This window comes from Homo sapiens, chromosome 12, assembly GCF_000001405.40.
Source record: "Homo sapiens chromosome 12, GRCh38.p14 Primary Assembly".
Taxonomy (NCBI): domain Eukaryota; kingdom Metazoa; phylum Chordata; class Mammalia; order Primates; family Hominidae; genus Homo; species Homo sapiens.
The window spans coordinates 112,473,472-112,498,405 of record NC_000012.12 but is presented as its reverse complement, the minus strand read 5'-3'; the positions used below and the strand labels follow the sequence as shown (position 1 = coordinate 112,498,405).

At 43.7% G+C, this 24,934-nt stretch overlaps 1 protein-coding gene and 1 long non-coding RNA gene across 6 annotated transcripts in view; both read right to left on the bottom strand.

The window, feature by feature from the left end:
- The window catches only part of PTPN11 (protein tyrosine phosphatase non-receptor type 11), a 90,972-nt gene that overhangs the window by 11,513 nt on the left and 54,525 nt on the right, over window positions 1-24,934 (bottom strand). For 2 of the 5 annotated variants that reach the window (NM_001330437.2, XM_011538613.3), the window contains exons 8-13: window positions 20,676-20,755; window positions 20,391-20,549; window positions 16,201-16,332; window positions 11,777-11,943; window positions 9,896-9,963; window positions 9,231-9,382 (exon numbers count right to left, since the gene is read on the bottom strand). In NM_001330437.2, the coding sequence (NP_001317366.1) occupies window positions 9,231-9,382; window positions 9,896-9,963; window positions 11,777-11,943; window positions 16,201-16,332; window positions 20,391-20,549; window positions 20,676-20,755 (758 nt within the window). Of the gene's footprint in view, window positions 1-9,230; window positions 9,383-9,895; window positions 9,964-11,482; window positions 11,944-16,200; window positions 16,333-20,390; window positions 20,550-20,675; window positions 20,756-24,934 lie in introns of those variants that run through there. The other 3 variants (NM_002834.5, NM_001374625.1, NM_080601.3) reach the window with 2 other exon arrangements.
- Window positions 6,982-9,222, bottom strand: LOC124903024 (uncharacterized). Its single transcript, XR_007063467.1, has 2 exons — window positions 8,418-9,222; window positions 6,982-7,388 (listed from the first exon to the last, which is right to left on the bottom strand). It is a non-coding gene; the product is annotated as an uncharacterized LOC124903024 (long non-coding RNA).

Genomic DNA, 24,934 nt, shown 5'->3' with positions numbered 1-24,934 from the left:
CTCTGGGTTCACATTTGAAGACTACAAACACCATGATTCCTTCCACTATCCAATCATGAAATTTTGCTGGTTTTACTTCGCTCTGTGCTCACTGTCAGTCCTGCCCACCCTGACCAAACCATGACGGGTTCTCACGTGCAGCACTGCGGCAGCTCCTCACTGACCCTGCAGCTGCTCTAGCCTAGTGCCCACCCATTCTTCACCCTCAAGCCAGGGTTCCCTTTCAAAATGAGGGGTTTTTTGTTTTTTTTTTGACACGAAGTCTCACTCTGTCACCCAGGCTGGAATGCAGTGGCACAATCTCGGCTCACTGCAATCTCTGCCTCCCGGGTTCAAGCGATTCTCATGCCTCAGCCTCCCAAGTAGCTGGGACTACAGGTGTGAGCCACCATGCCCAGCTAATTTTTGTATTTTTGATAGAGACAGGGTTTCACCATGTTGCCCAGGCTAGTCTCAAACTCTTGGCCTCAAGCAATCCACCCACTTCAACCTCCCAAAGTGCTGGGATTACAGGCGTGAGCCACCACATCCGGCCTAAAATGAGGATCTTTTTATGTCATTCCCCTGCTTCAGACTCCTCAATGACTTCCATGTCCCTCCAAATAAAGTCTACAATCTGTAATATGGCCTACAAGGCCCACCTCTCCCTCCAAACTGAAAAATCTGGTCTCAGCTTACTTTTCCAATCTCCCCATCACACTCCACATTGCCCCCCAGCTCCTTCTACTCCAACCATGCTGGATTCATTTCCAATTCAGGAACACAACTACTTAAATATTCCCAGTGCCTGGCACAGTACAACCTACTTTAATTAATGCAGGAATGAATGAACAAGTATGAAAAAACCTTTTCATTGGACCAAGGAGATGAAGGGAGCTGTGTGAAGAAACAATAGGGCACATAGGGGCACGGCCTCATGTTAACTCAAATTTTACATCTAGTAAAACTTCAGTTCCATGAGGCAACAGCGATGGCTATCTTCTTCATTGTTACAACCTCAGCATCTAATCAATGTCTGCAACAGAAAAGGCACTCAAATATTTCTCAAAGGAATGACACCAAACAAAAAAGAATAAGCGTCTAATAAAATATGAGGAGCCAAATAGCAAGTGCTACACAAGGCCAGTTTAAATCTTGCTCGTTTACTGTTGCAACAACTCAGATTCAGCCTGTGCAATCCCATTTCTATTCCAGCTCTGCTATCATTATGGAATTTTTTTTTTTTTTTTTTTTTGAGACAGAGTCTCGCTCTGTCGCCCAGACTGGAGTGCAGTGGCTCAATCTCAGCTCACTGCAAGCTCTGCCTCCCAGGTTCAAGTGATTCTCGTGCCTCAGCCTCCTGAGTAGCTGGGATTACAGGCACACACCACTACGCCTGGCTAATTTTTGTATTTTTTGTAGAGATGGGGTTTTACCATTTTGGCCAGGCTGGTCTCGAACTCCTGACCTCAGGTGATCTGCCCACCTCAGCCTCCCAAAGTGCTAGGATTATAGGCCTGACCCATTACAGAATTTTTAAAAGTAATTTCTGTCCTGCAATATGATTCACTCAGAGAGAACACTGTTCAGATCTCTGTATACTGAAGTGTAGAGACGCTACCTGTGTTGTATGTATTTCCTTCAAACAAGAAGTGCAAATACAATTCTCACATGGGTATAGGTTAGTAATTCTGAAACTACTTTACACCTATACCAGGGTTGAACAAATGAGTAGATAGGTTGGTGATAATGAGACTGGGGTTTCTCCCTGTTAGAGAAAGAAGTCACAAATAAGCAAGAGGAAGGCAAGAATGAGCCCTGCGGCAATGGATTCGAGTCTGAGACATCAGTATGAATTCATGTTTAGCTTAATATATATATAGATGGCCAGATACAGAAAACAATTATAGATATATATGAATCCATGGATTCATATACAGCCATATGTTTTCTAGCTCTATCTGCTGAGAGGGCCTAGAAGCAGTGATTCCAGTAGCAATGAGCACACCCAACACCCAGATTGGTTTCTAAACCCCCATCTAAAGTAAAAGGAACCAGGGCACCATAGAAAAATGGATGATTCTAGGGCTGCGGCAGGGAAAAATATAAGAGGAGCCTGGAACATCTTTTGTAATGCCAAAGTAGAGAAGTACTCAGAAACGAGAGGGTGGGGACATGTCAAATGACACAGGAGCCAATCTGAAGAACCTCCCAGTGACCAAAGCTGTAACAATTTGAGCAAGAAAAATAGATTATAACCCAAAGTATAAAATAAATGTACATGCGTCTCTATCAATATAAATAATGGAATAAATAAATGGAGAGAAGGAACAAATCTTTCTTACAAAAGGATTCTAAATAATGTATATAGAAACTAGTCATTCCAGTTTCAATTAAGCTCCAAGAGATGGAGCTTTATTTCCCTTTTCTTGAGTATGGTCTGAACTAAATGACTTTCTTCCAAGGAATTGAACAGGGAAAGAGGAAAAAAGTACAGGCAGTCCCCAACTTCATGATGGTTTGCCTTATGGTTTTTTTGATTTTATGATGGTGCAAAAGCAATACAACCCTTCTGTTTTTCATTCTGAGTACAGTACTCAACACATTACATAAGATATGCAACACATTATAAAACAGGCTTCCCATGAGATGATTTTGCCCAACTGTAGGCTAATGTAAGTGTCCTGAATACGTTCAAGGCAGGCTAGGCTAAGCTGTGATGTTTAGTAGTTTAGATGCATTAAATGCATTTTTGACTTATGATATTTTCAATTTATGATGGGCTTATCAGGCTGTAACCCCATCATAAGTTAAGGAGGATTTGTAATTATGCAGTGAGAAAAATCTGGCAGATACTAACTAAACAAACTGACAAGTTTAACATCACCAGGCCATGTTGATAACATTTACCTCCAAGTGATGAGAACACTTAACAATATACCTCTGTGGTATTCTTCCCAAAAATCCATTACTCAAGTCTAATCATGAGAAAACATAAGATTAAACACAAGTTGTGGGATATCCTACAAGATATCTGACCAGTACTCTTAAAAATCGTCAAGAGTACATGAAAAACAAGGAAAGCCTAAGAAGCTGTCGCAGATTGGAGAAGACTACAGTGACAAGTGACCAAACTCAGTGTGTGACCATGAATTGGATCAAGGAACAGAAAAAGGATATTCATTGGAAAACTGGCAAAATCCAATTAAACTCTAGTTTAGTTAATAGCAATGTATTGATGTTAATGTTTTAGTTTTGATAAATGTATCATGGTTAGGTAAAATGTTAACTTCAGGGGAAAGTGGATGAAAGGTATAAGGAACTCACTCTGTTATACAGAGATATGTATAATGCTCCTCGACTTTATGGGGATACATCCCAATAAACTCATCATAAGTTGAAAATATCACTAGTCGAAAATGCATTTAACATATCTAACCTACCAAACACCACAGCTTAGCCTAGCCTACTTTAAACGTGCTCAGAACACTTACATTAGCCTACACGTGGGCAATATCATCTCACAATCCCTATTTTAAAATAAAGTGTTGAATGAAAAGTGAAAAACAGAATGGATGTATTGCTCTCAAACCATCATAAAATCAAAAATCATAAGTCGAACCATCATAAGTCAGGGACCGTCTGTACACATATGTGAGGTTTTAGAAAGAGGGAACTCAAATAGAGCAGTAATTGATCAGCTAATTAGCAATTCAAAGAACACTGTACCAGTACAAACAAGTAGACCCAGTGCCCAGATCTTGGTTTCAAAATACTGCTCTTCACTAAAAGGAATCAGGTTCCTTTGAAAAATGGCTGGGAAAGGAGAAGATGAGCCTAGACCATCTTAAGTCTAAAGAAGTGCTTGAAAATGGAAAGAGATCAAAAGGACAGAGTACCCGATCTGAAAAGGTTTCCACTAGCCAAATTCAAGTCAATTCAAGCAATAACAACAAAAATAGTAGTAAGGTGCCCATTCTGATAGACATGAATAAATAAATAAGGAAGAAAGAAAAGCCCTTCCTTATAGTAGGCTTGCAACTAAAAACAGAAAAGGGAATGATGAACCTTAAAAGTTCTAGAAGAAAGCATATGGGGAAAGTAACATGACAATGGTCATGGCAATGGTTTTTAGGATTTGATACCAAAAGCACAGGGAACAAAATAAAAATAAACAAGTGGAACAACATCAACATCCAGGCTAAAGTGCAGTGGCACCATCTTGGCTCACTGCAACCTCCGCCTCCCGGGTTCAAGCGATCCTCCTGCCTCAGTGTCCCAAGTAGCTGGGATCACAGGTGTGCGCCACCACATCCAGCTAATTTTTTATATTTTTGGTAGAGATGGGGTTTCACCATGTTGGCCAGGCTGGTCTCGAACTCCTGACCTCAAGTGATCCACCCTCCTCAGCCTTCCAAAGTGCTGGGATTACAGGCATGAGCCACCGTGTCCAGCATGGATATTAGTTTTAAAAAGAAGAAAATCCTGTCATTTGCAAGAACATGGATGACATTATGCTAAGTGAAATAAACCATCACTGCCTGATCTCATTTGTATGTGGAATCTAAACCAGTCAAACTCATAAAAACTGAGATTAAAGCAGTGATTACCAGGGGTTGGGGGTAGGGAAAACAAGGAGACTTTGGTCAAAGGGTACAAACTTGAAGTTACATAAGATGAATACATTTTGGAGATCTAATGTACAGCATGGTGATTATAGTTAATACTAACGTAATGTGGCTGGGTGTGGTGGCTCATGCCTGTAATCTCAGTACTTTGGGAGGCCGAGGTGGGTAGATCACCTGAGGTCAGGAGTTTGAGGCCAGCCTGGCTAACATGGTGAACCCCCATCTCTACTAAAAATACAATAATTAGCCAGGCATGGTGGCGGGTACCTGTAGTCTCAGCTACTTGGGAGGCTGAGGTGGGAGAAGCACCTGAATGAACCCAGGAGGCAGAGGTTCCAGTGTGGCAAGATCATGCCACTGCACTCCAGCCAGGGTGACAAAGTGAGACTCCATCTCAAAAAAAAAAAAAAAAAAATGTACACTTAAAATTTACTAAGAGTGGCCGGGCACAGTGGCTCACGCCTGTAATCCCACCACTTTGGAAAGCTGAGACGGGAGGATCATTTGAGGTCAGGAGTTCGAGACCAGCCTGGCCAACGTAGTGAAACCCCACCTCTACTAAAAATACAAAAATTAGCCGGGTGTGATGGTGGGCACCTGTAATCCCAGCTACTGGGGAGGCCAAGGCAGGAGAATCACTTGAACCTGGGAGGTGGAGGTTGTAATGAGCCGAGATTGTGGCACTGCACTCCAGCCTTAGTGACAAACCAAGACTCTGTCTCAAAAAAAAAAAAAAGTAACTGAGATGTTGGATGCATTATTTAACTCAATTTTGATAATCATTTCACAAAGTATACATATATCAAAATATCATGGTGTACACTTTATATACAGTTTTTCTTTGTCACTTATACTTTTAAAAGCGGGGGAAAGGCAATGATGGAAACAGAAAATTGCCATTTGGCAAATACCACAGTAATAATTTTTTCAGGCAAGAATTTAATCAATGAATATAAAATTAGTAGGCAAAAAGTATTATGAGAGCCGGGCGCAGTGACTCACATCTGTAATCCCAGCACTTTGGGAGGCCAAGGCGGGCAGATCACAAGGTCAGGAGATCAAGACCATCCTGGCTAACACGGTGAGACCCCGTCTCTACTAAAAATACAAAAAATTAGCCAGGTGTGATGGCGGGCGCCTGTAGTCCCAACTACTTGGGAGGCTGAGGCAGGAGAATGGCGTCAACCCGGGAGGTGGAGCTTGCAGTGACCCGAGATTGCACCACTGCACTCCAGCCTGGGAGACGGTGCGAGACTCCATCTCAAAAAAAAAAAAAGTATTATGAGAAATAGGTAATTTACGCAGTCTCCAGTATCTACCCACAAGATATTAACTTAAAAGGGAAAAATAATAACTTTATGGACAAGAGATTAACTTAAAAGGGAAAAATACTTTGTTCCTAAAAAAAAAATGTAGCAAAAATACTACTTTTTGCTACATTTTTTGCTACGCCTGTAGTCCCAGCTACGTTTTGCTCAAGTAACTTTACGGTGGACAAATTTGACAGACACCACCTTATTCAAGTGATCAAAGTTAACACCACTAGTAATGAATCAGATCAACAGTGTGTACCTGATGTGATGTACTAAGAAGACTACAACAACATTTCTGTGACAGTCCTGCCAAAAATGCATGACTAGAATATAGTCAAGAGAAAACACTGGACAAATCCAAACTGAAAGGCATTCTGCTAAATAGCTGGCCTAAACTCTTCAAAAACATCCAGGTCATGAAAAATAAAGAATGACTGAGAAACTGTTCCAGATTAAAGAGACTAAACATACTAATAACTGGCCAGGTGTGGTGACTCACGCCTGTAATCCCAGCACTTTGGGAGGCCAAGGCGGGAGGGTCACTTGAGCCCAGGAGTTCAAGGCCAGCCGGGGCAACACGGCGAAGCTCCATCTCTACAAAAAATACAAAACTTAGCCAGGCATGGTGGTGCACACCTGTGGTCTCCAGCTACTCGAGAGGCTGAGGTGGGAGGATCACCTGAGCCCAAGGAGGTCAAGGCTGCCGTGAGCCATAATTGCACCACTGCACTCCAACCTGGGCAACAAAGTGAGACCCTGTCTCAAAAAAAGAGAAAAAAGATACATTATAGCCAAATGCACTGTGTGACCCTGGACCCATAAAAGATACTAGCAGGACAAAATTTGAAGATGGTCTGTAGGTTAGATAATAGTGTTATATCAATGTTAGTTTCCTGATTTTGATCACTGTATCAAATAATTGTGACATTGGTTATGTAAGAGAATGCCCTTATTTTTAGAAAATATACACATTTTAGAATGTGTAGGCTTAGATTATTCATTTTTTAAAATGAAATGATATTTAGAGACAAAGGGGTATAAATGTTTGTAACCAACAAACATTTTACTTTTTAAAATTTACATTTTTAATTTTAAACAGAGAGAATAAACGAATGATAAAGTTAAGTGTGCTAAAAAGTTAACAGTCAGGAAAGCTGGGTAAAGAAAATTCCACAGACTGCTTTTGCAAATTTGAGGGTTTTTTTTTTTTTTTCACTACTGTAGTTGGAAGTTAACAAAAAAGTCTACCTCCAAGGAACTGGCAGAGTGTGAGAACTGTTTATAAAAACTTGAGAATTTTCTCAATCTTGCTTCGTTTGCACTTTCCCCTGGATTCCCACATCTGATTTTATATTCTTCCTTCCTTGTGCTGTTTCTTCTCTTCCTTCTCCACAGCTCTTCACCCATCATTCCTTTTTTTCACTGATCCTTCTTTAGCAAATTCTTTCACTCCCAAAGGTCCTGAACACTTCATAATTTTAGAAATGACTGTATTTTAGAATAACCAATTATCCTGAATGAGTTTTGTTCTTTTGCTTCATTTATAAATCAGCTGGGTTTAATGTTATGTCTGCCATTTAAACTTTCTACTAAATTAAGTACTTCTTACTTTACCACAATCAGCCAGCAAGCCAGTTCCCAGATTGATTCAAACCACACAACGCAGAAAACTATATATTGCAGGATTTCATTTTTTAAAATAAATAATTGAAGCCTACACATTTTTAAAACCCAGAGGTCACTGGGCTCAGTGGCTCACACTTGTAATCCCAGCACTTTGGAAACCCAAAGTGGGAGGGTTGTTTGAGCCCAGGAGTTCAAGACTAGCCTGGGCAACACAGTGAGACCTTGTCTCTACAAAATAAAGATAAAAAAATTAGCCGGGCATGGAGCCACAAATTTGTAGTCCTAACTACTCAGAGAGGCTGAGGCAGAAGCACTGCTTGAGCCTAGGAATTCGAGACTAGCCTGGGCAACATGGCGAAACTGTGACACTACAAAAAATGCGAAAATTAGCTAGGTGTGGTGGCGCATGCCTATAGTCCCAGCTACTTGGGAGGCTGAGGTGGGAGGATCGCTTAAGCCTGGGAGATTGAGGCTGCAGTGAGCCATGATTACACCACTGCACTCCAGCCTGGGCAACAGAGAGAGACCTCTCTCTCAAAAAAAAAAAAAAAAAAAGACATCCCTGAACATGCTCCAACTTGTAGCAACTATGTTACATTCTCTTTGTATTTACTAGGAGATCCTTCTCTTTGGGCAACTTTTTGCCTAACTATTCTTGAGCCAAATTAAGTATAATGGAAGACAGATATAAAATAAAGTAACCGTCTAAATATTTCATATCAGTTAATACAAATTCAGATTTAAAGCACTGAGGTTCAAATTTTGACCTTACATTTCTATACATACACTGTTTCTGAAGATGTCTATGTACAATAAAACAATCCCGTATGTCTGTGCGGACTGAAAACCTACTAAACTAATTAGCAAGTACCTTCCTTTGGCCAACCAAACTTTGATAACGTGGCTGCTGTTCTGCTAGGCTAGAAATCTTTCAAATACTGGTGGCAGGTCCCATTCTGAAAAGAGCTCAGCATTTGGAGAAGCTGAGTTCTCTGGAAGGCAACGAGCAGAGTAATGCAGGCACTCGCCACTGATGTTTAGACACCACCCCATCTGCAGCATGGCAATGGGGTTGAGGGGTTGGGGAGAGAAGCACAGCCCCCAAAAGAGCAGCTCTCCTCATTTCCTTCATCTCAGCATATTCCTAATTAACTCAGCTTTGTGCCTGTTATGAATAGCTTCAGATGGAAAGGCTCCAATTCCACATTCCTCTTCATTATGCACAGCTTATTAAAATTGAAATTTCACTGTTTCCAACTCGACCAAATTAGTGGTTCAAACTGCCGTGCGCTATTAAGAGTGAGGCATTCGTTTTAAAGGATGGAATCAGGATAAACATGGCCTGGATCAAGGCTGGAACAGGCTAGAAACTTCAAGGCTTTGAGTTTTACGCTTGCCACATGAGCCTGAGAACATCAGAACCTTTCTGCATGGCAGTTCTTCAATCTGGCAGGCCAGGCTGATAGGATGGTGCCCTTCCCTAAGCTCCTCTGCAGTGAAAAATCAGAGCTGAGAAGTGGAGAATAATTGACAGTTTCCAGAGGCCCTTTTAGTTGGGAGTTTGTTTCCCATTCCGAAATCAAACAGTTGTCTATCAGAGCCTGTCCTCCTGCTCAAAAGGAGAGCGTATCCAAGAGGCCTAGCAAGAGAATGAGAATCCGCATGCCAGCCCTCAGGCTGGTACCTGCTCTTCTTCAATCCTGCGCTGTAGTGTTTCAATATAATGCTGGACCGCCATATAGATAAATCGGTACTGTGCTTCTGTCTGGACCATCCCTGACCTCTGAGACCGCACCATCTGGATGGTTTTGGGAACGTCAATATCGCAGTCAACACCTACGAAGGAAACATCATGAAGAATAAAGAGAAACTGCAGAGCCAGGATGAAGTTGTTTAATGCACAACTTTTAGTGGACTCAGAGACAATGCTAATTTAGTCTTTGCTGTTTTAACTGAGCATGTTGCAATGGCTACAGTGTTGAACTTCTGACCAATACCAATGATCCCAGAAGACTACATAAATAACGAAGTGGCAGAAGTCAGGATTCCCTCACTTGCCAACAAATCACCCCATACTGTAAACAAGGTCAGGTGGCTGGATAGAGACCACCACTGTGTATGCAACAAAAGGCCATGGCAGTGGGTTCTGCAGCTCCTAGACTTCATTTTATGCCAAAAGCTCAAATAGTGTCACTTCTGTTCTCAGGCAGACACACTGAAGTCTTCAGCCCAGATTTTTGTGAAAGAATTTTCCCATTCAACCTCTCTTCCCCAGACTGTTTTCGTGAGCACTTTCCTTCCATAAACTAAAAACAGAAACTGTCGCTTCTTGCCCACCAGATGACCCACCTTTCTCTCTGATGATGTCAATAAGAATATCAATCACAATGAACGTCCCTGTCCGGCCAATTCCAGCACTGCGGGCAGAAGGACAAAAAGCAGGGACAACAGAATCATTCATGGGGGTTTCAGACTCAAAACCAAGCCATTAATATCAACAGAAACAATGTCTACTCTTTGGAGCTATTTATAAAATTGTCTATTTATGTTTGAAAATATGTTGGCAAAAAGCATAGGGCTTTGGAGTCAGCCCAAACCTGCTCTTGGAGTTCAGCTTCTCCAGTACAACGTGCCTGAGGTAAGTCCCTTAACCTCTCTGACCCTTAATTTCTGCATCTGTGAAATGGGGACAACAGCACATACCATACAGAGTGCTGGTTGGACAGAATGAAACAGGAATCATATACAAAAAAATACATCAAAATTACTGAAAGAGGGCCGGGCGCAGTGGCTCTCACCTATAATACCAGCACTTTGGGAGGCCGAGGCAGGAGGATCACTTGGGGCCAGGAGTTCCAGACCAGCCTGGCCAACATAGCAAAACCTCGTCTCTACTAAAAACACAAAAATTAGCCAGGCATGTTGTCACGTACCAGTAATCCCAGCTACTCGGGAGGCTGAGACATGAGAATTGCTTGAACCCAGAAAGCAGAGGTTGCAGTGAGCTAAGATCGCTCAATTGCACTCTAGCCTGGGTGACAGAGTGAGACTCTGTCTCAAAAAATAATAATAATAAAGTTATTGAAATAGAAGAAGTAAATAATTTTAAAAATTAAAAACAAAACAAAACAAAAAACATTGTGCTCAGAGGCTGGCTCAATAAATGGTAGCTTCTTTAACAACTGGACAAATAAACACTTTCACATATATCTACTTGCCCAAGAAATGAATGAGATTTAGGAAACCCAATATTCCCCAGTATAATCATGAAGCCCAAACTGGAGAATCAGCAGCCCACAGACTCATTACAGAGGTCACAGCACAGCTTCCATCAAAGGCCTTGGTGGAAAAGCAGCTGGAATCTTGTGAAGCAAACAAATATAGTGTTAGGGGAGAAATATATTTATGGTAGAAGAGAACAGAATGGGCCGGGCATGGTAGCTCATACCTGTAATCCCAGCACTTTGGAAGGACAAGGCAGGTGGATCACCTGAGGTCAAGGGTTCGAGACCAGCCTGGCCAACATGACAAAACCTTGTCTCTATTAAAATACAAAAATTAGCCGGGCGTAGTGTCAGATGCCTGTAATCCCAGCTACTTGGGAGGCTGAGGCAGGAGAATGGCCTGAACCCGGGAGGCGGAGGTTGCAGTGAGCCAAGATGGCACCACTGCACTCTAGCCTGGGCAACAAAACAAGACTCTGTCTCAAAAACGAAAAAAAAAAAAGAGAGAGAGAGAGAGAGAACAGAATCACAATCAAAGAGATGAATCATAGAAGAGTAGAAGAAAAGAAGGAAAAAGAGAACCAAGCAAAAATGACTTAAGGGATCCTCAAGAGTCAGGCCTATTTCCACCACACCCCCACCACCTCAATACCTACAAAGCAGTCAACAGCTACAAAGCAAACATCATGAAGAATAAGGAGAAACTGCAGAGCCAGGATGAAGTTGTTTAATGCACAACTTCTGGTGGACTCAGAGATAATGCTGACTTAGTCTTTGCTGTTTTAACTGAGCATGTTGCCATGGCCATGGCCAATGGCAGTGCTGTAGGGTCTAGGAGAAATATGCCTTGGGATCAAAATGTCCCTCAATGCAGTTGCTCTATGCCTCAAACAGATATTAAATTCTTCCTACAGTTAAAGAGCTAGGAGTGGGTAGGTAAAAGCAAGCCCTGGGCGCTAGGAGACAGGGACAGGCTGTGGCCTAGAGGGGCAGCAGGAGCTGTCACCTGCAGTGCACCACGACCGGCCCTGCATCCATGATGCTCTCCTGCTTATGGTGCACCTCCTCCAGGAAGTCCAGCACGCCCCCAGGGTCGCTGGGCACGCCGTGGTCCGGCCAGGTCCGAAAGTGGTATTGCCAGACCGTTCTCTCCGTATTCCCCTGGAGTAGAGCCAAGAAAAACCAGAAAAGAATTAAATAAATCAAGAGGTTGAGGAATCACCCGGTTCTAAGCTTTCCTAAATCCAATGGAGAGGAAGAGAATCTCCCCAGGTTCCACTGAAAGGTCCTCTTCGTGAGGTTCCCAGAACTCGTCTCCTTTTGGGCAATCCTGGAGGCAACTCTTTGCCTCTGTCATAAGAACCAAGACGTCTGGCATGGCAATTTGTTCTTTCAGGTAACTATACCCTGAATCATCTCTCTGAATTACCAGCGACAGGTAACATCCCTATTCCCCTGCATCCCTGTGGCACTCAGCTCTGGAGGCAACTGAAACCTCTAGGGATCCAGGTCTCTCCTCCCAGCAGAAGAGGAAGCAGATGGGGAAACAGGCATTCACTTAAGACATTCATTCCTCTTTGTTATTTTTTTGATACTCAACCTTCCCCACCATATAAACACAGACTATAGTATCATTCTTTTTTTTTTTTTTTTCCAAGACAGAGTCTTACTCTGTTGCCCAGGCTGGAGTGCAGTGGCGTGATCTTGGCTCACTGCAACCTCTGCCTCCCGGGTTCAAGCCATTCTCCTGCCTCAGCCTCCCAAGTAGCTGGGATTACAGGCACACATCACCATGCCTGGCTAATTTTTGTATTTTTAGTAGCGATGGGGTTTCTTTCGCCATATTGGCCAGGCTGGTTGCAAACTCCTGACCTCAGGTGATCTGCCTGCCTCGACCTCCCAAAGTGCTGGGATTACAGGCGTGAGCCACCCAGCCTGGCCAGTATTGTTCTATTTTAAACTTATATTTAATGCAAAGCAGATAAGAAAACAGGCTTTGCTATCAGATGACTAGATTTAGGCTCCAATTCCAGGCACTCACACTCACGTGGCCCTTGGGTATCTCTAAACCTCAATTTCTTCATTTTGCAAAATGCAAATAATAATCTCTTTCTCTCTATCATAATGCAATTTTAAGGACTCAGTGAGCTCGCTGAAATACTCAGCCTCTGCCCAGCAAATAGGAAGAGACTCAGCACATTATGGCTATTTTGAGGATAATGATAATTAATAAAGATCAACAATGGCACCAAGGCTACAGAAAACCAAAAAGTATCATGTTTCTGGGTCTATCCAGATGACGTAATTGTAGCAGCACCATTCATTCCTACATCTTCTTCCTATATATGTAGAGACAATCTAAGCTAAGTGACTTTTTTTTTTGAGACAGAGTCTCACTCTGTCATCCAGGCTGGTGCACAGTGACCTGATCACAGCTCACTGCAACCTACGCCTCCCCGATTCAAGCAATTCTTGGGCCTCAGACTCGACTCCCGAGTAGCTGGGACTACAGGCATGTACCACATCCAGCTAATTTTAGTAGAGAAGGAGTTTCGCCATGTTGGCCAGGCTGGTCTTGTACTCCTGACCTCAAGTAATCCACCCACTTCAGCCTCCCAAAGTGCAGGGATTACAGGCATGAGCCACTTTGCCCAGCCTTAAGTGACATTTTTAAAAGGGATGTAAAAGGACACTTTTCTCTTTTTTCTTCTTCTTTTTTTTTTAATTTTTTTATTTTATTTTATTTTTATTTTTAACTGGGCACTCTGTTGCCAAGGCTGGAGTGCAGTGGCACAATCACAGCTCAATGCAGCCCAGAACTCCTGAGCTAACACGATCCTCTTGCCTCAGCCTCCCAATATGCTGGGATTACAGGCGTGAGCCACCACGCCCAGCCCTTTCTCCCATTTCCACTTGACAGCTACATTGTTCCAGTTCCTCTCACTATCTCTACCATAGATTCAGCCTCCACCCCTCCCCATCATCAGAAGGACTGGACCCTCTCTGACATCAGAAATCCAAACATCCCACCCTGGGCCACAACCACACTGGTTTCCAGCTCCTTCTGGTCCCCCCGTCACTTCCTGTAGCCTCCAGACCACTGAGCCCTCCCTCTACTTTCCACCTGCCTCCTCCTGCCCCTGTCCCCCTCATCCGGCCAGGAGTCCCCGTGCTCTGGGGACAGTCTCTCTCTACCATGTGCCTCCATTCCTTGACCTCCTCTCCATCCACTGCAACTATGCAAAGCCCTCGGCCTGGACAAACCACGTACTTTCTGTTTTGTGCCCTAGGAGCCAAGTGTCCTTGGAGAAAAACCAGGCAATGGGTATCAGTATATTTTCATGTTCACCGCCTCAACTGGGAACTTGGCACAGCACAGAAATTTCTGGACTTCTTGCCCTGCTACACAATTACGATTTCATCTTTTCTCCCTTTCTTCATATATTCTATCTCTTCTTATTCCCTCTGATTGTCTGTTGATGGCCTTGCCTCAAGCTTCCGAGAGGATAGGGAATACAATCACTCTCAGCTCATCTACCGGCATCTGTGGCCACCTTCTCCTTTTGCCCTCCTGTTGCCACAGAAAAACATGTCCCTCTATCGAGCAAAACTGATCCATCCACGACGCTCTGCATCCCACCTCCCCTCCGCATCCCACCTCCACCCTTGCCTCCCTGACCGCTCCACTTCAATGTGTCCAAGGCATCTCAAACTTTGTGTGTTCACAAAAAGGTCCTTGATCCTCCCAGCTTCCTCAACTCCACTGCCATCCCCCCGGACCTTTCTCAAGCTAGAAAATTGCCAGTCACCCTGCACACCACCCTCGCCCTTGGTACACTCCTTCACTGAATCCCTGCATGTCTGCCTCCAGTCAGCTCTACTGGGTCCTCTTCTTTCAGGCACCCTGGGCACTGGCCTAGTTCAATCCCTATTATTTTTTACTCTGACGGCTGCACTACCTCCAAATTGGTCCTAATCCCTAGAACAACTCCTGCCCCCTCCAGTCTCTACAGGGTGGAGGGGAATCTCTTAAAAACTTAAATCCAACTCTGGCTGCTTACCACACTTAGGACAAACCCCCACAACCTCCTTTGCTGACTCAAACACATTGTTCCCTATGCCTTAAGAACCTCCCCTCCCTTGGCCGGGTGCGCTGGCTCACGCCTGTAATTCCAGCACCTTGGGAGGCTGCATGTGGCAGCAGGATCGCTTAAGCCCAGGAGTTCAAGACCAGCCTGGGCAACATAATGAGACAACCGTCTCTATAAAAAATTTAACAATTGGGTGGGCATGGTGGCACACACCTGTAGCCCCCAGCTACATGGGAGGCTGAGGTGAGAGGATCACTTGAGCTTAGGAGGTTGTGGCTGCAGTGAGCCGTGAATGCACCAGTGCACTCCAGTCTGGGTGACAGAACAAGATTCTGTTTCAAAAAAAAAAAAAAAAAAGTCCCTTCCCCCTCCAAATGAACCCTAAACTCCTGCATTTTTTCTTTCTAGCCCTGATTACAGTTTATAATGATATATTTATATGTGCAATTACTGGGCTGGTAGATTACTGGCCAGTATAGTGTACACTTGGGAGTGCAGGGATTCCATCTGTTTTGTTCCCCAGCTCTATCTCCAGCAAGCAGCATGGTGCCAGGAACCAAGAGGTCATTGAACAAATATCTCTGAATGAATAGATGAATGTCCACATGACTGTTCAGATGCCCAGCTGAACACATCCAGAAGAAAACAAATCACTGCCCACATCAGTTCTCCTTCCAGCTTTTGTGGTGTCTGCCACAGCACCACTGTCCGCTCAGACTCAAACCTCTACAATGTGTCTTGAATCCCTCCTTCCTCCTCCAAAAGCCAAACAATCCCCACATCCTGCAGACTTCACCCCCCGGCACCTCTCACATCTACTGCTTCTCTTCCAGTTTATTCTGCCATTTTATATAATATTCCATTCCAAAGGAAGGAACAAAAAAGAACAACTGCTGAAGTCTGTGGATACTTGGAGAGGAGGCCATCAACATAGGCCCCTGCGGAGGCCTCCTAACAGACCTTGTAGCCACTCAGGTCACCCTATCCCAGTCTCCCACCCAGGGCTGGTCTCGAACTCCCCGGCTCAAGCGATCCACCCACCTCAGCCTCCCAAAGTGCTGGGATTACAGGCCTGAGCCACGGCGCCTGGCCAGTTATTTGTTTTTAAATTGTCTATCTCCCTAGGCTCGATGAGGGCAGGAACACTACCTGCCTTGTTCACAATGTACCAGTACTGCTTAAACTGTACCTGGCACATAGAAGGAAGCTAATAAATGGCTACTGAATCAATGAGTGAGCGAATGCATGCATGTATGCAAACATGAGTAACGGCAAGACCCTGAATTCCTACACACCATCAACAGTTCCCAAAGTCTCTAGAATACGACAATATACTTACTTGTCCAACCTTTGAAAGTTTAAGTTCTCTTAGCGTATAGTCATGAGCGGCGCTTTCTTTGACGTTCCTAACACGCATGACGCCATATTCTTTTAGAGCATACTCATCAGGCCAGTATTTGACACATTTACTCTGGAAGAGATCAGAAAAAAAGAAAGTTAATTCTGTGAACTCTGAAATAAAAGCCTAAACAAGCAACAAACAAATGTTCAAGTCTTGCTTAATAACCACCAACATGGAAAATGGCCTGTTTCGCATCTGTTAGGTTTTCAGAAAAGGACAGAAGAGTTCAAATAAGAAAAGCAGGCATTCGGAGGACCAGGCAGAAGTGGGAGGAGAAAGGCAGCTGGTGCAGTTACCTGATCCAAGCACATGTCAAAGCAGAGTCAATGTTTGTTTATCTGTAAAGAATCAGCTGGGGCGCAGTGGCTCATGCCTGTAATCCCAGCAGTTCGGGTGGCCGAGGCGGGCAGATCACTTGAGACCAGAGGTTTGAGACCAACCTGGCCAAATGGTGAAACCGTGTCTCTACTAAAAATACAAAAATTAGCCAGGCGTGATAGCAGGCACCTGTAATCCCAGCTACTTGGGAGGCTGAGGCAGGAGAATTATTTGAACCTGGGAGGCAGAGGTTGCAGTGAGCTGAGATCATGCCACTGCACTCCAGCCTGGGTGACAGAGAGAGGTTCTGTCTCAAAAAAAAAGGAAGAGTTCAAACAAGAAAAGCAGGTGTTTGGAAGACCAGGCAGAAGTGGGAGGAGAAAGGCAGCTCGTGCAGGTGTCTGTTCCAAGCACATGTCAAAGGAGAGTCGGTGCTTGGTTTATCTATCTCTAAAGAATCAAAGATGCAGAGAGAAGGACCAACCAATGTGAGAGTGCTGGCTAGCAACCACTGAGGTCTGAATTCTAAGATCTACCAGTCACTCCATAGGGAAGGCAAGCACAGATTCTGGAGGAGGCTAGGCTGCCCAACGAGCCAGACTGTCTGTTTCATTTCCGCACCAGTGTAGGAGGACTCTGTGCCTTATCTAACCCAAGTGTGAATAACTCTATCACAGAAAGGCAGCCCATGGGGTTTTGAACCAGCTGCTTTTTCTATATCCAGACCCATCTGATACCTCCTCTACACGTCACTTTCCCTTAACTGGGTGCCTGGGAATGCCAAGTCTGCAATAGCTGCTGGCTTCAAGAGCAGGCGGATTGAAAAATATGGCACCAAGAAAATCATTCTTGCTGCCAAAAAGGAAGCTATTTCACTCAGTAAGAGATGAGTTTGTATCTATTTGGTGATGTGTTCTGGGCAGAGAATGCTTTTGTGTTCTGTTGTTTTCTGGGCAGTCATCCACACCACTCACTTTCCAAAACCACCAATATCAGCAAGAGAAATTTACCTTGTATCTTAGGAAGACAGAGAAATTTACAGCTATAAAACTGGAAATAAGAGAGCAGCTACAGACATCAACAGTGAGAGTCAATGAGTCAATGATTAATTGAAAGAAAAAAGAAAACATGGTAGGAGGAACGTTCAATAAAAGGATGTGGTCTTGGTTGGGCGCAGTGGCTCACGCCTGTAATCCCAGCACTTTGGGAAGCCGGGTGGATCACTTGAGGCCAGGAGTTTGAGACCAGCCTGGCCAACATGGTGAAACCTGTCTCTACTAAAATTACAAAAATTAGCCAGGTGTAGTGGCACACGCCTGTAATCCCAGCTACTCAGGCACTGAGGCAGGAAAATCGCTTGAATCCGGGAGGCGGAGCCTGCAGTGATCCAAGATAGTGCCACTGCACTGCAGCCTGAGTGACAGAGCAAGATACAGTCCCAAAAAAAAAAAAAAAAAAGAACGATGTGGTCTTTTATTTATTATGATTCTCAATTCAGCTTTCCCTCCGGTATTTTGTAGATCCAAACACCTCTGACAGATTTGATGCAAATTTTAGTTTCCCCAAATGAGCACTCCTAATATTAATTGTACTCTATGCTGTCACTGGCCAATCAAGACTGAGGACTGCTCCCAGTCACTATAGGGAACTCACCAGAGAATATAAAATTAAATCATGACCCTGAAAAGAACATTTTAGCTAACTTTAAACATCAGCCCTCCCCCTAGTTTCTAAACTCCCGTGGAAACCTTGGCAAACAAATTCTAAAATGTGAGAACTAATACACTGTCTTTTAAAATAGAGCCCAGGAATCAAACACAGTCCACAGTCTGGCTTGTCTTCTGTGCACTGGGGGGATACTGAAAGTAGGATGTCAGAAAGGTCTGTGGAGAGAATCAATACCCATCATGTCATCCTCTCGGCACCACCAAAGTAAAGAGGAAGAATGAGACAGGGAGCAGAGAGTAGGACATGGTGGTGAGGGGTGGGGCAGAGTGATTTGGCCCTAATGCCTGTCTATCCAGGAGAGCTTCTGAAAGGGACTGATACTGATTCCTCTGAAGCAACACAAGACCCCTCTCTTCACAATCCTCATGTCTTCTGAGAACAGGTGAACCTCCTATAGCTATAATCAGGCAAAAAGGAGGATGAAGGGCTTCATTCTTCCTATCCACATTTAGGGCAAAAAACCCTTGCCTGAAGCAGAAACTACAAAGATGTTTTCATTGGTCCATTAATTCAAGAACACCTAATGTTACCACAGGCATTTGCTGAAGGAAACCTTTGTTTCACGATGACCAGAACTGGCCTCAAAGGTATTCAGAAGTATACCAACTAGGAGTACAACAATGAAAGTCTTATGAAAATCACACTGCCCTTCACATCCAATATGAAAATTACAGTAGGAAGGCTCAACTCCAAAGTTCTCCATCTGCCTTAGGTTTAATTTATAGGTATGACTGCTACATTCCACATAAAATCTTATATAAACCAATTAAAGGATATCTAAAAAAGAACTTTCACTAGAACACAAACAAAAACACAGAACTTTTCCATATTTAAAAAAAAAACCACCATGGTGGGCTCACTTTGAGATAACACAGAGGGCTGTCACTCAATAAGATCTGTCCGCTCTTCTGTAGGTGTGGGGTGTTACAATTTATTTTTTTAATCTGAAGTGTCTTGAAGAGTATGGAGTAATGAGTCCTAGGCAGGTGCTGCTGGTGGGAGTGAGCACTGCAGCAACCATTTGGGAGGACAGTTAGGCAGAGTTAATTAAAACAGACAACATGGCCAGGCATGGTGGCTCACACCTATAATCCCAACACTTTGGGAGGTCAAGGAAGGTGGATCACCTAAGCTCAGGGGTTCCAAAACCAGCCTGGCCAACATGGCAAAACCCCATCTCTACTAAAAATACAAAAATTAGCCAGGCGTGGTGGCACGCACCTGTAGTCCCAGCTACTTGGGAGGCTGAGGCATGAGAATCATTTGAACCGGGAGGCAGAGGCTGCAGTGAGCTGAGATCATGCCACTGCACTCCGGCCTGGGCAACAGACCGAGACCCTGTCTCTACAAAACAAAAAACAACAACAGAAATACTCCATACATTCAAAAGGTAAGGAAAATGCTACACATGTTAAAAGGAAAGCTATAGATGACATTAACACTTCTAGAGATGAAAAATACAATGTCTGTGATGAAAAATACTCTGGATAGGATTAAGAGCGGATGACATATTGCAGAAGATTAACTTGGAGACATAGCAAAAGAAGCTATTCGAAATGAAACACGGGGAGAAAAAACTGAATAAAATAAACCAAGTATCAGTGGGCTATGAGACAACTTCAAGTAGTCTAATACACGTATGACTGCTGTCCTAGGACAAGGTTGTGCAGGGTACATTTTTTTTTTTTAAGAGATGGGGTCTTACTACATTGCCCAGGCTGGTCTCAAACTCCTGACCTCAAGTGATCCGCCCACCTCAACACCCCACAGTGCTGGGACTACAGGCATGAGCCACCATGCCCAGCCCAGGATATGTATCTGAAGAAACTAAGACTGAACATTATCCAAATTTAAGGAAAACTACAAATCCATGGAGCCAAGAAGCTCAACAAATCCCAAGCAGAAGAAACATAAAGAAAACTACACCAAGGAATAACATAATCAAATTTCTCCTAGTCCCTTTTTTCCAGAGAATCAGTTACAGTAAGCTTAATTCATTTATTCAATTCCTAAACATGGCCAATCTGACATGTCTGATACTTTAAAAACAGTTTAGCAGAAAAGAAGTTTCTGTGATTTACCTTTCCTCTCTCCACTTCTTTCGTTGTCATGACAATCACTCGGGAGTTTTCTTGGAACACCATCCGCCAAAAGTCATTCACCGTGTTTTGCAGGCAGCCTTGTGTGGCAATGTAACTCTTTTTGGGCTTTGAATTGTTGCACTTGGTTTCAAATTCAGGCTAGAAATTTAGGAAGAAAATCCTTCAAACACCTTAAAGTTACTTTCAGGACATGAGGAAGGATTTAAAATACAAAAATAGGCTAGAAATGTATGGTCAGAAAACACTGTGAAAAGCAAAGCTTACCATGATGATATTTGCATTGATGTAATCTGAAACAGGCTCATTGGGATCACCATCGTGTAGGACAACCCTGGTATGATCAACTAGAAGAAAAAGAGACCACGGTCACATAAGTCCTGGACTGCTTCAGGAAAAAACAGTTCAAATCAGTTACTCCCCAGCCTAGTCCAAGTTTTGTTCATTCAATGATTGAAAAAAAAACACATAAAAATTAAAGCCCAGGTAAGCAAAACAGTAACGTGAACACTGCCTGATGTCTCAAAATGCCATCTTCACAATTTCCTAGTTTTGATCATATACTATGGGTATATAGGATGTTATCATTGGGTATATAGGAAGCTCAGAGAAGGTACAAGAAAATTCTCTCTACTATATGTGTAACTTCTTATGAGTTCCAAAATTATTTCAAACCAAGAAATTTTGGGCTGGGCGCAGTGGCCTATAATTTCAGCACTTTGGGAGGCCAAGGCAGGTGGATCATATGAGGTCAGGAGGTCAAGACCAGCCTGGCCAACATGACAAAACCCTGTCTCTATTAAAAATACAAAAATTAGCCAGGCATGTTGGTCCACATCTGTAATCCTAGCTACTAGGGAGGCTGAGGTACAAAAATCGCTTGAACCCGAGAGGCGGACATTGCAGTGAGCCAAGATCACTCCAGCCTGGATGACAGAGTGAGACACAGTCTCAAGAAAAAAGAAAAGGGGAGGGGGAGTTTTAAAAAAAAAGAAGATTGAAGTATACATATATGACATGATGTCTGAGATGGGCTTCAAAATAATTCAAGGAGAGAGGAGATGTGGATCAGAGTATAGATGAAACCAAGACTGGGCATGAGTTGATAATTGTTGAAGCTGGGTGATGGGTACATGTGGGTTCTTTATGCTCTTGAATATATTTGAAAATTTCCATAATAAAGAGGGGTTTTTGTTGTTGTTGTTGTTGTTGTTTTAAATTTATTTTTTGAGACAGGGTTTTCCTCTGTCACCCAGGTTGGAGTGCAATAGCACTATCTCGGCTCTCTGCAACCTCTGCCTCCTGGGCTCAAGCAATTCTCATACCTCAGCCTCCTGAGTAACTGGGATTACAGGAGCGTGCCACCACATCTGGCTAATTTTTGTATTTTTAGTAGAGATGGGGTTTTGCCATGTTAGCCAGGCTGATCTTGAACTCCTGACCTCAGGTGATCTGCCCACCTCAGCCTCCCAAAGTGCTGGGATTACAGTTGTGAGCCACCGCACCCAGCCAGGTATTTTTTAGTGAAGCATAATGCAGTGGAATATCACAAGGCTCTGATAGTATCAACTGTCCAAATTCTGTACAAAAGTCTATTATTCGTATAAAAATCTGAGTGCTCTACCTAAACAACATATTTTGCAATGGGAATTAGTAAGACAGCCATGTGTCTTAAAAGAATAATGTCTTTTTTGCTTCAGACTCCTCATCTTTAAGGAAATGAGATGTTCATCAGAGGAAACATCTGAATGAGACCTTTAAGGGAGGAAAAAGCGATATTCTATTTAGATACTGCATACCATTGATCCCTTCACTTTCCCATACATTTTATACCATTTAATACCACCTGACCCCTGAGCAGATGTCACAACTTAGACATAGAAAGGACAAGGTGGCCAGGCATGGTGGTCCACACCTGTAATCCTGGCACTTTGGGAAGCCAAGGCAGGAGGATAGTTTGGGCCCAGGAGGTCAAGACCAGCCTGGGCAACATAGAGAAACTCTTGTCTATTTCTAAAAATTGAAAAAATAAATTCCAAAAAAAAAGGATAAGGCTTCCTCAAGGTCACTAGTACCATGCTACAGCTCAAACTGCTTCTCTGCAAATTCCTCACTGCCTTTTCTCAGTATTACAAATGTCTCCACTTTCCCCCATCCTCATACATATACATTACAATATCCATGTAGATATGATATACATATATACCATGTATATGTACATATGCATGCAGAAAGAGAAAGACTATGTTTCATGCATAGACACACACAAAGAATGGTTTACAAGATTTGACAAAATGACTCTGACCTGATAAGACATGAGAGCAATGCTCTCCAAATTTGATCACAACCCCCAATCACACAGTTTTTCTATGCTGAAATGTATACACATATGCACTACAGGCAAGCAAGCCTTATTTGTAAGTTGGATAAATATAGTATGCATAGCCAGGTGCAGTCGCTCATGCCTGTAATCCCAGCACTTTGGGAAGCCAAAGCAGGAGGATTGCTTGAGCCTAGGAGTTCGAGATCAGCCTGGGCAATATAGTGAGACCCCCCATCTCTATATACAATCAATCAATCAATCAATAAAACATTATGCACTCCCTGCAATCAATCTAGGCCTCAGACAAATTTTTCTTTTTCTTTTTTTTTTAGGGACAGGATATAAATAAAGAGAAGTTGTAAATGTTCCTTCCTTTCTCCTCAGTGCACTGCCTTGCATAGCACATCAATGGAGAACCCCATGCATTAGAGTGGTGCTAAGAACAGTGACTTTGGGGGCTCTAGTGCCAGTTCTCCCACCCACTCCCCTTCACTTATAACCTTGCTAAAATGGTCTAGGAAACCAGGATACTACGAATGCTTCCTTCCTGTGCATGTGATATGGATTAAGTGAGATAAAAATGCAAAGAGTTCAGCATAGAGTTAGACCTCGGGAGAGAGGAACTGTGACTGGTTTAGTGCAGTTTCTGAGATCCTCATGCAAGGCCTACATCCTGCCAGGCCTTTTTCCCTCCTGGTTCAACTTGGGCTTTGCCTGGTGGCATTTGGGTGTTACAGAAGATATAGCCAGACACAGTGGTTCACACCTGTAATCCCAACACTTTGGGAGGCCGATGCAGGCAGATCGTTTGAGCCCAGGAATTCGAGACCAGCCTAGGCAACATGACGAAACCCTGTCTCTACAAAAAAAATAATTACAAAAAATACAAAAATTAGCTGGGCATGGTAGCACATGCCTGTAGTCCCAGCTACATTGCAGGCTGGGGTGGGAAGGACCACTTGAGCCCGGGAGGTTGAGGCTGCAGTGACCCATGATCATGCCACTGCACTCCAGCCTGGGCAACAGAGTAAGACCCTATCTCAAAAATAAATAAATAAATAAGTAGAAAAAAGGAAGGTCTACATCCTTCCAGGCCTTTTTTCCTCATGATTCAACTTGGGCTTTGCCAGGTGGCATTTGGGTGTTACAGAAGGTACAGCCAGGCACAATGGCTTGCACTGGTAATCCCAACAGTTTGGGAGGCTGAGGCAGGAGGACTACTTGAGCCCAGGAGTTCAAGACCAGCCTGGGCAACATAGGGAGACCCCGCCCTAGAAAAAATTTTATTATTTTTTAAATCGTTTTTTGTTTTGAGACAGAGTCTCACTCTGTCGCCCAGCCTGGAGTGCAGTGGTGCACATAGCACCTCCGGCTCATTGCAACCTCCGCCTCCCAGGTTCAAGCGATTCTCCTGCCTCAGCCTCAGCCTCCCAAGTAGCTGGGATTACAGGCATCCACCACCACGCCCAGCTAATTTTTGTAATTTTTAATAGAGATGGGGTTTCACCATGTTGGCCAGGCTACTCTCGAACTCCTAACCTCAGGTGATCCGCCCACCTCGGCCTCCCAGGGTGCTGGGATTACAGGCGTAAGCCACTGCGCCGGCCTACAGAAAAACTGTAAAATCAACCAGGTGTACTGGTGCCTGCCTATTGTCCCAGCTAATCAGGAGGCTGAGGTGGGAGAATCGCTTGAGCCCAGGAGGTTGAGGCTACAGTGAGCTGTGACTGCACCCTGAGCAACAGAGTGAGACTATGTCTCAAAAAAAAATTGAAAGGTACAGCTTTACAGCTTTGCGAATATTCACAAAGTCTTCCTTTTTTTTTTTTGAGACGGAGTTTTGCTCTTGTCACCCAGGCTGGAGTGCAATGGCACATCTCGGCTCACTGCAACCTCCATCTCCTGGGTTCAACCAATTTCCCGCCTCAGCCTCCCGAGTAGCTGGGATTACAGGCGCACACCACCACATATGGCTAATTTTTGTATTTTTAGTAGAGATGGGGTTTCACCATGTTGGCCAGGCTGGTCTTGAACTCCTGATCAGAGGTGATCCGCTTGCCTCGGCCTCCGAAAGTGCTGGGATTACAGGTGTGAGCCACTGCGCCCGGCCCACAAAGTCTTCTTCTGAGCAGTTTAGGTATATACCCTTTCTCCAGTAACTTGAGCTCAGGGGATCAGCAAGCAGAACAGTTCTAGGAGCCCT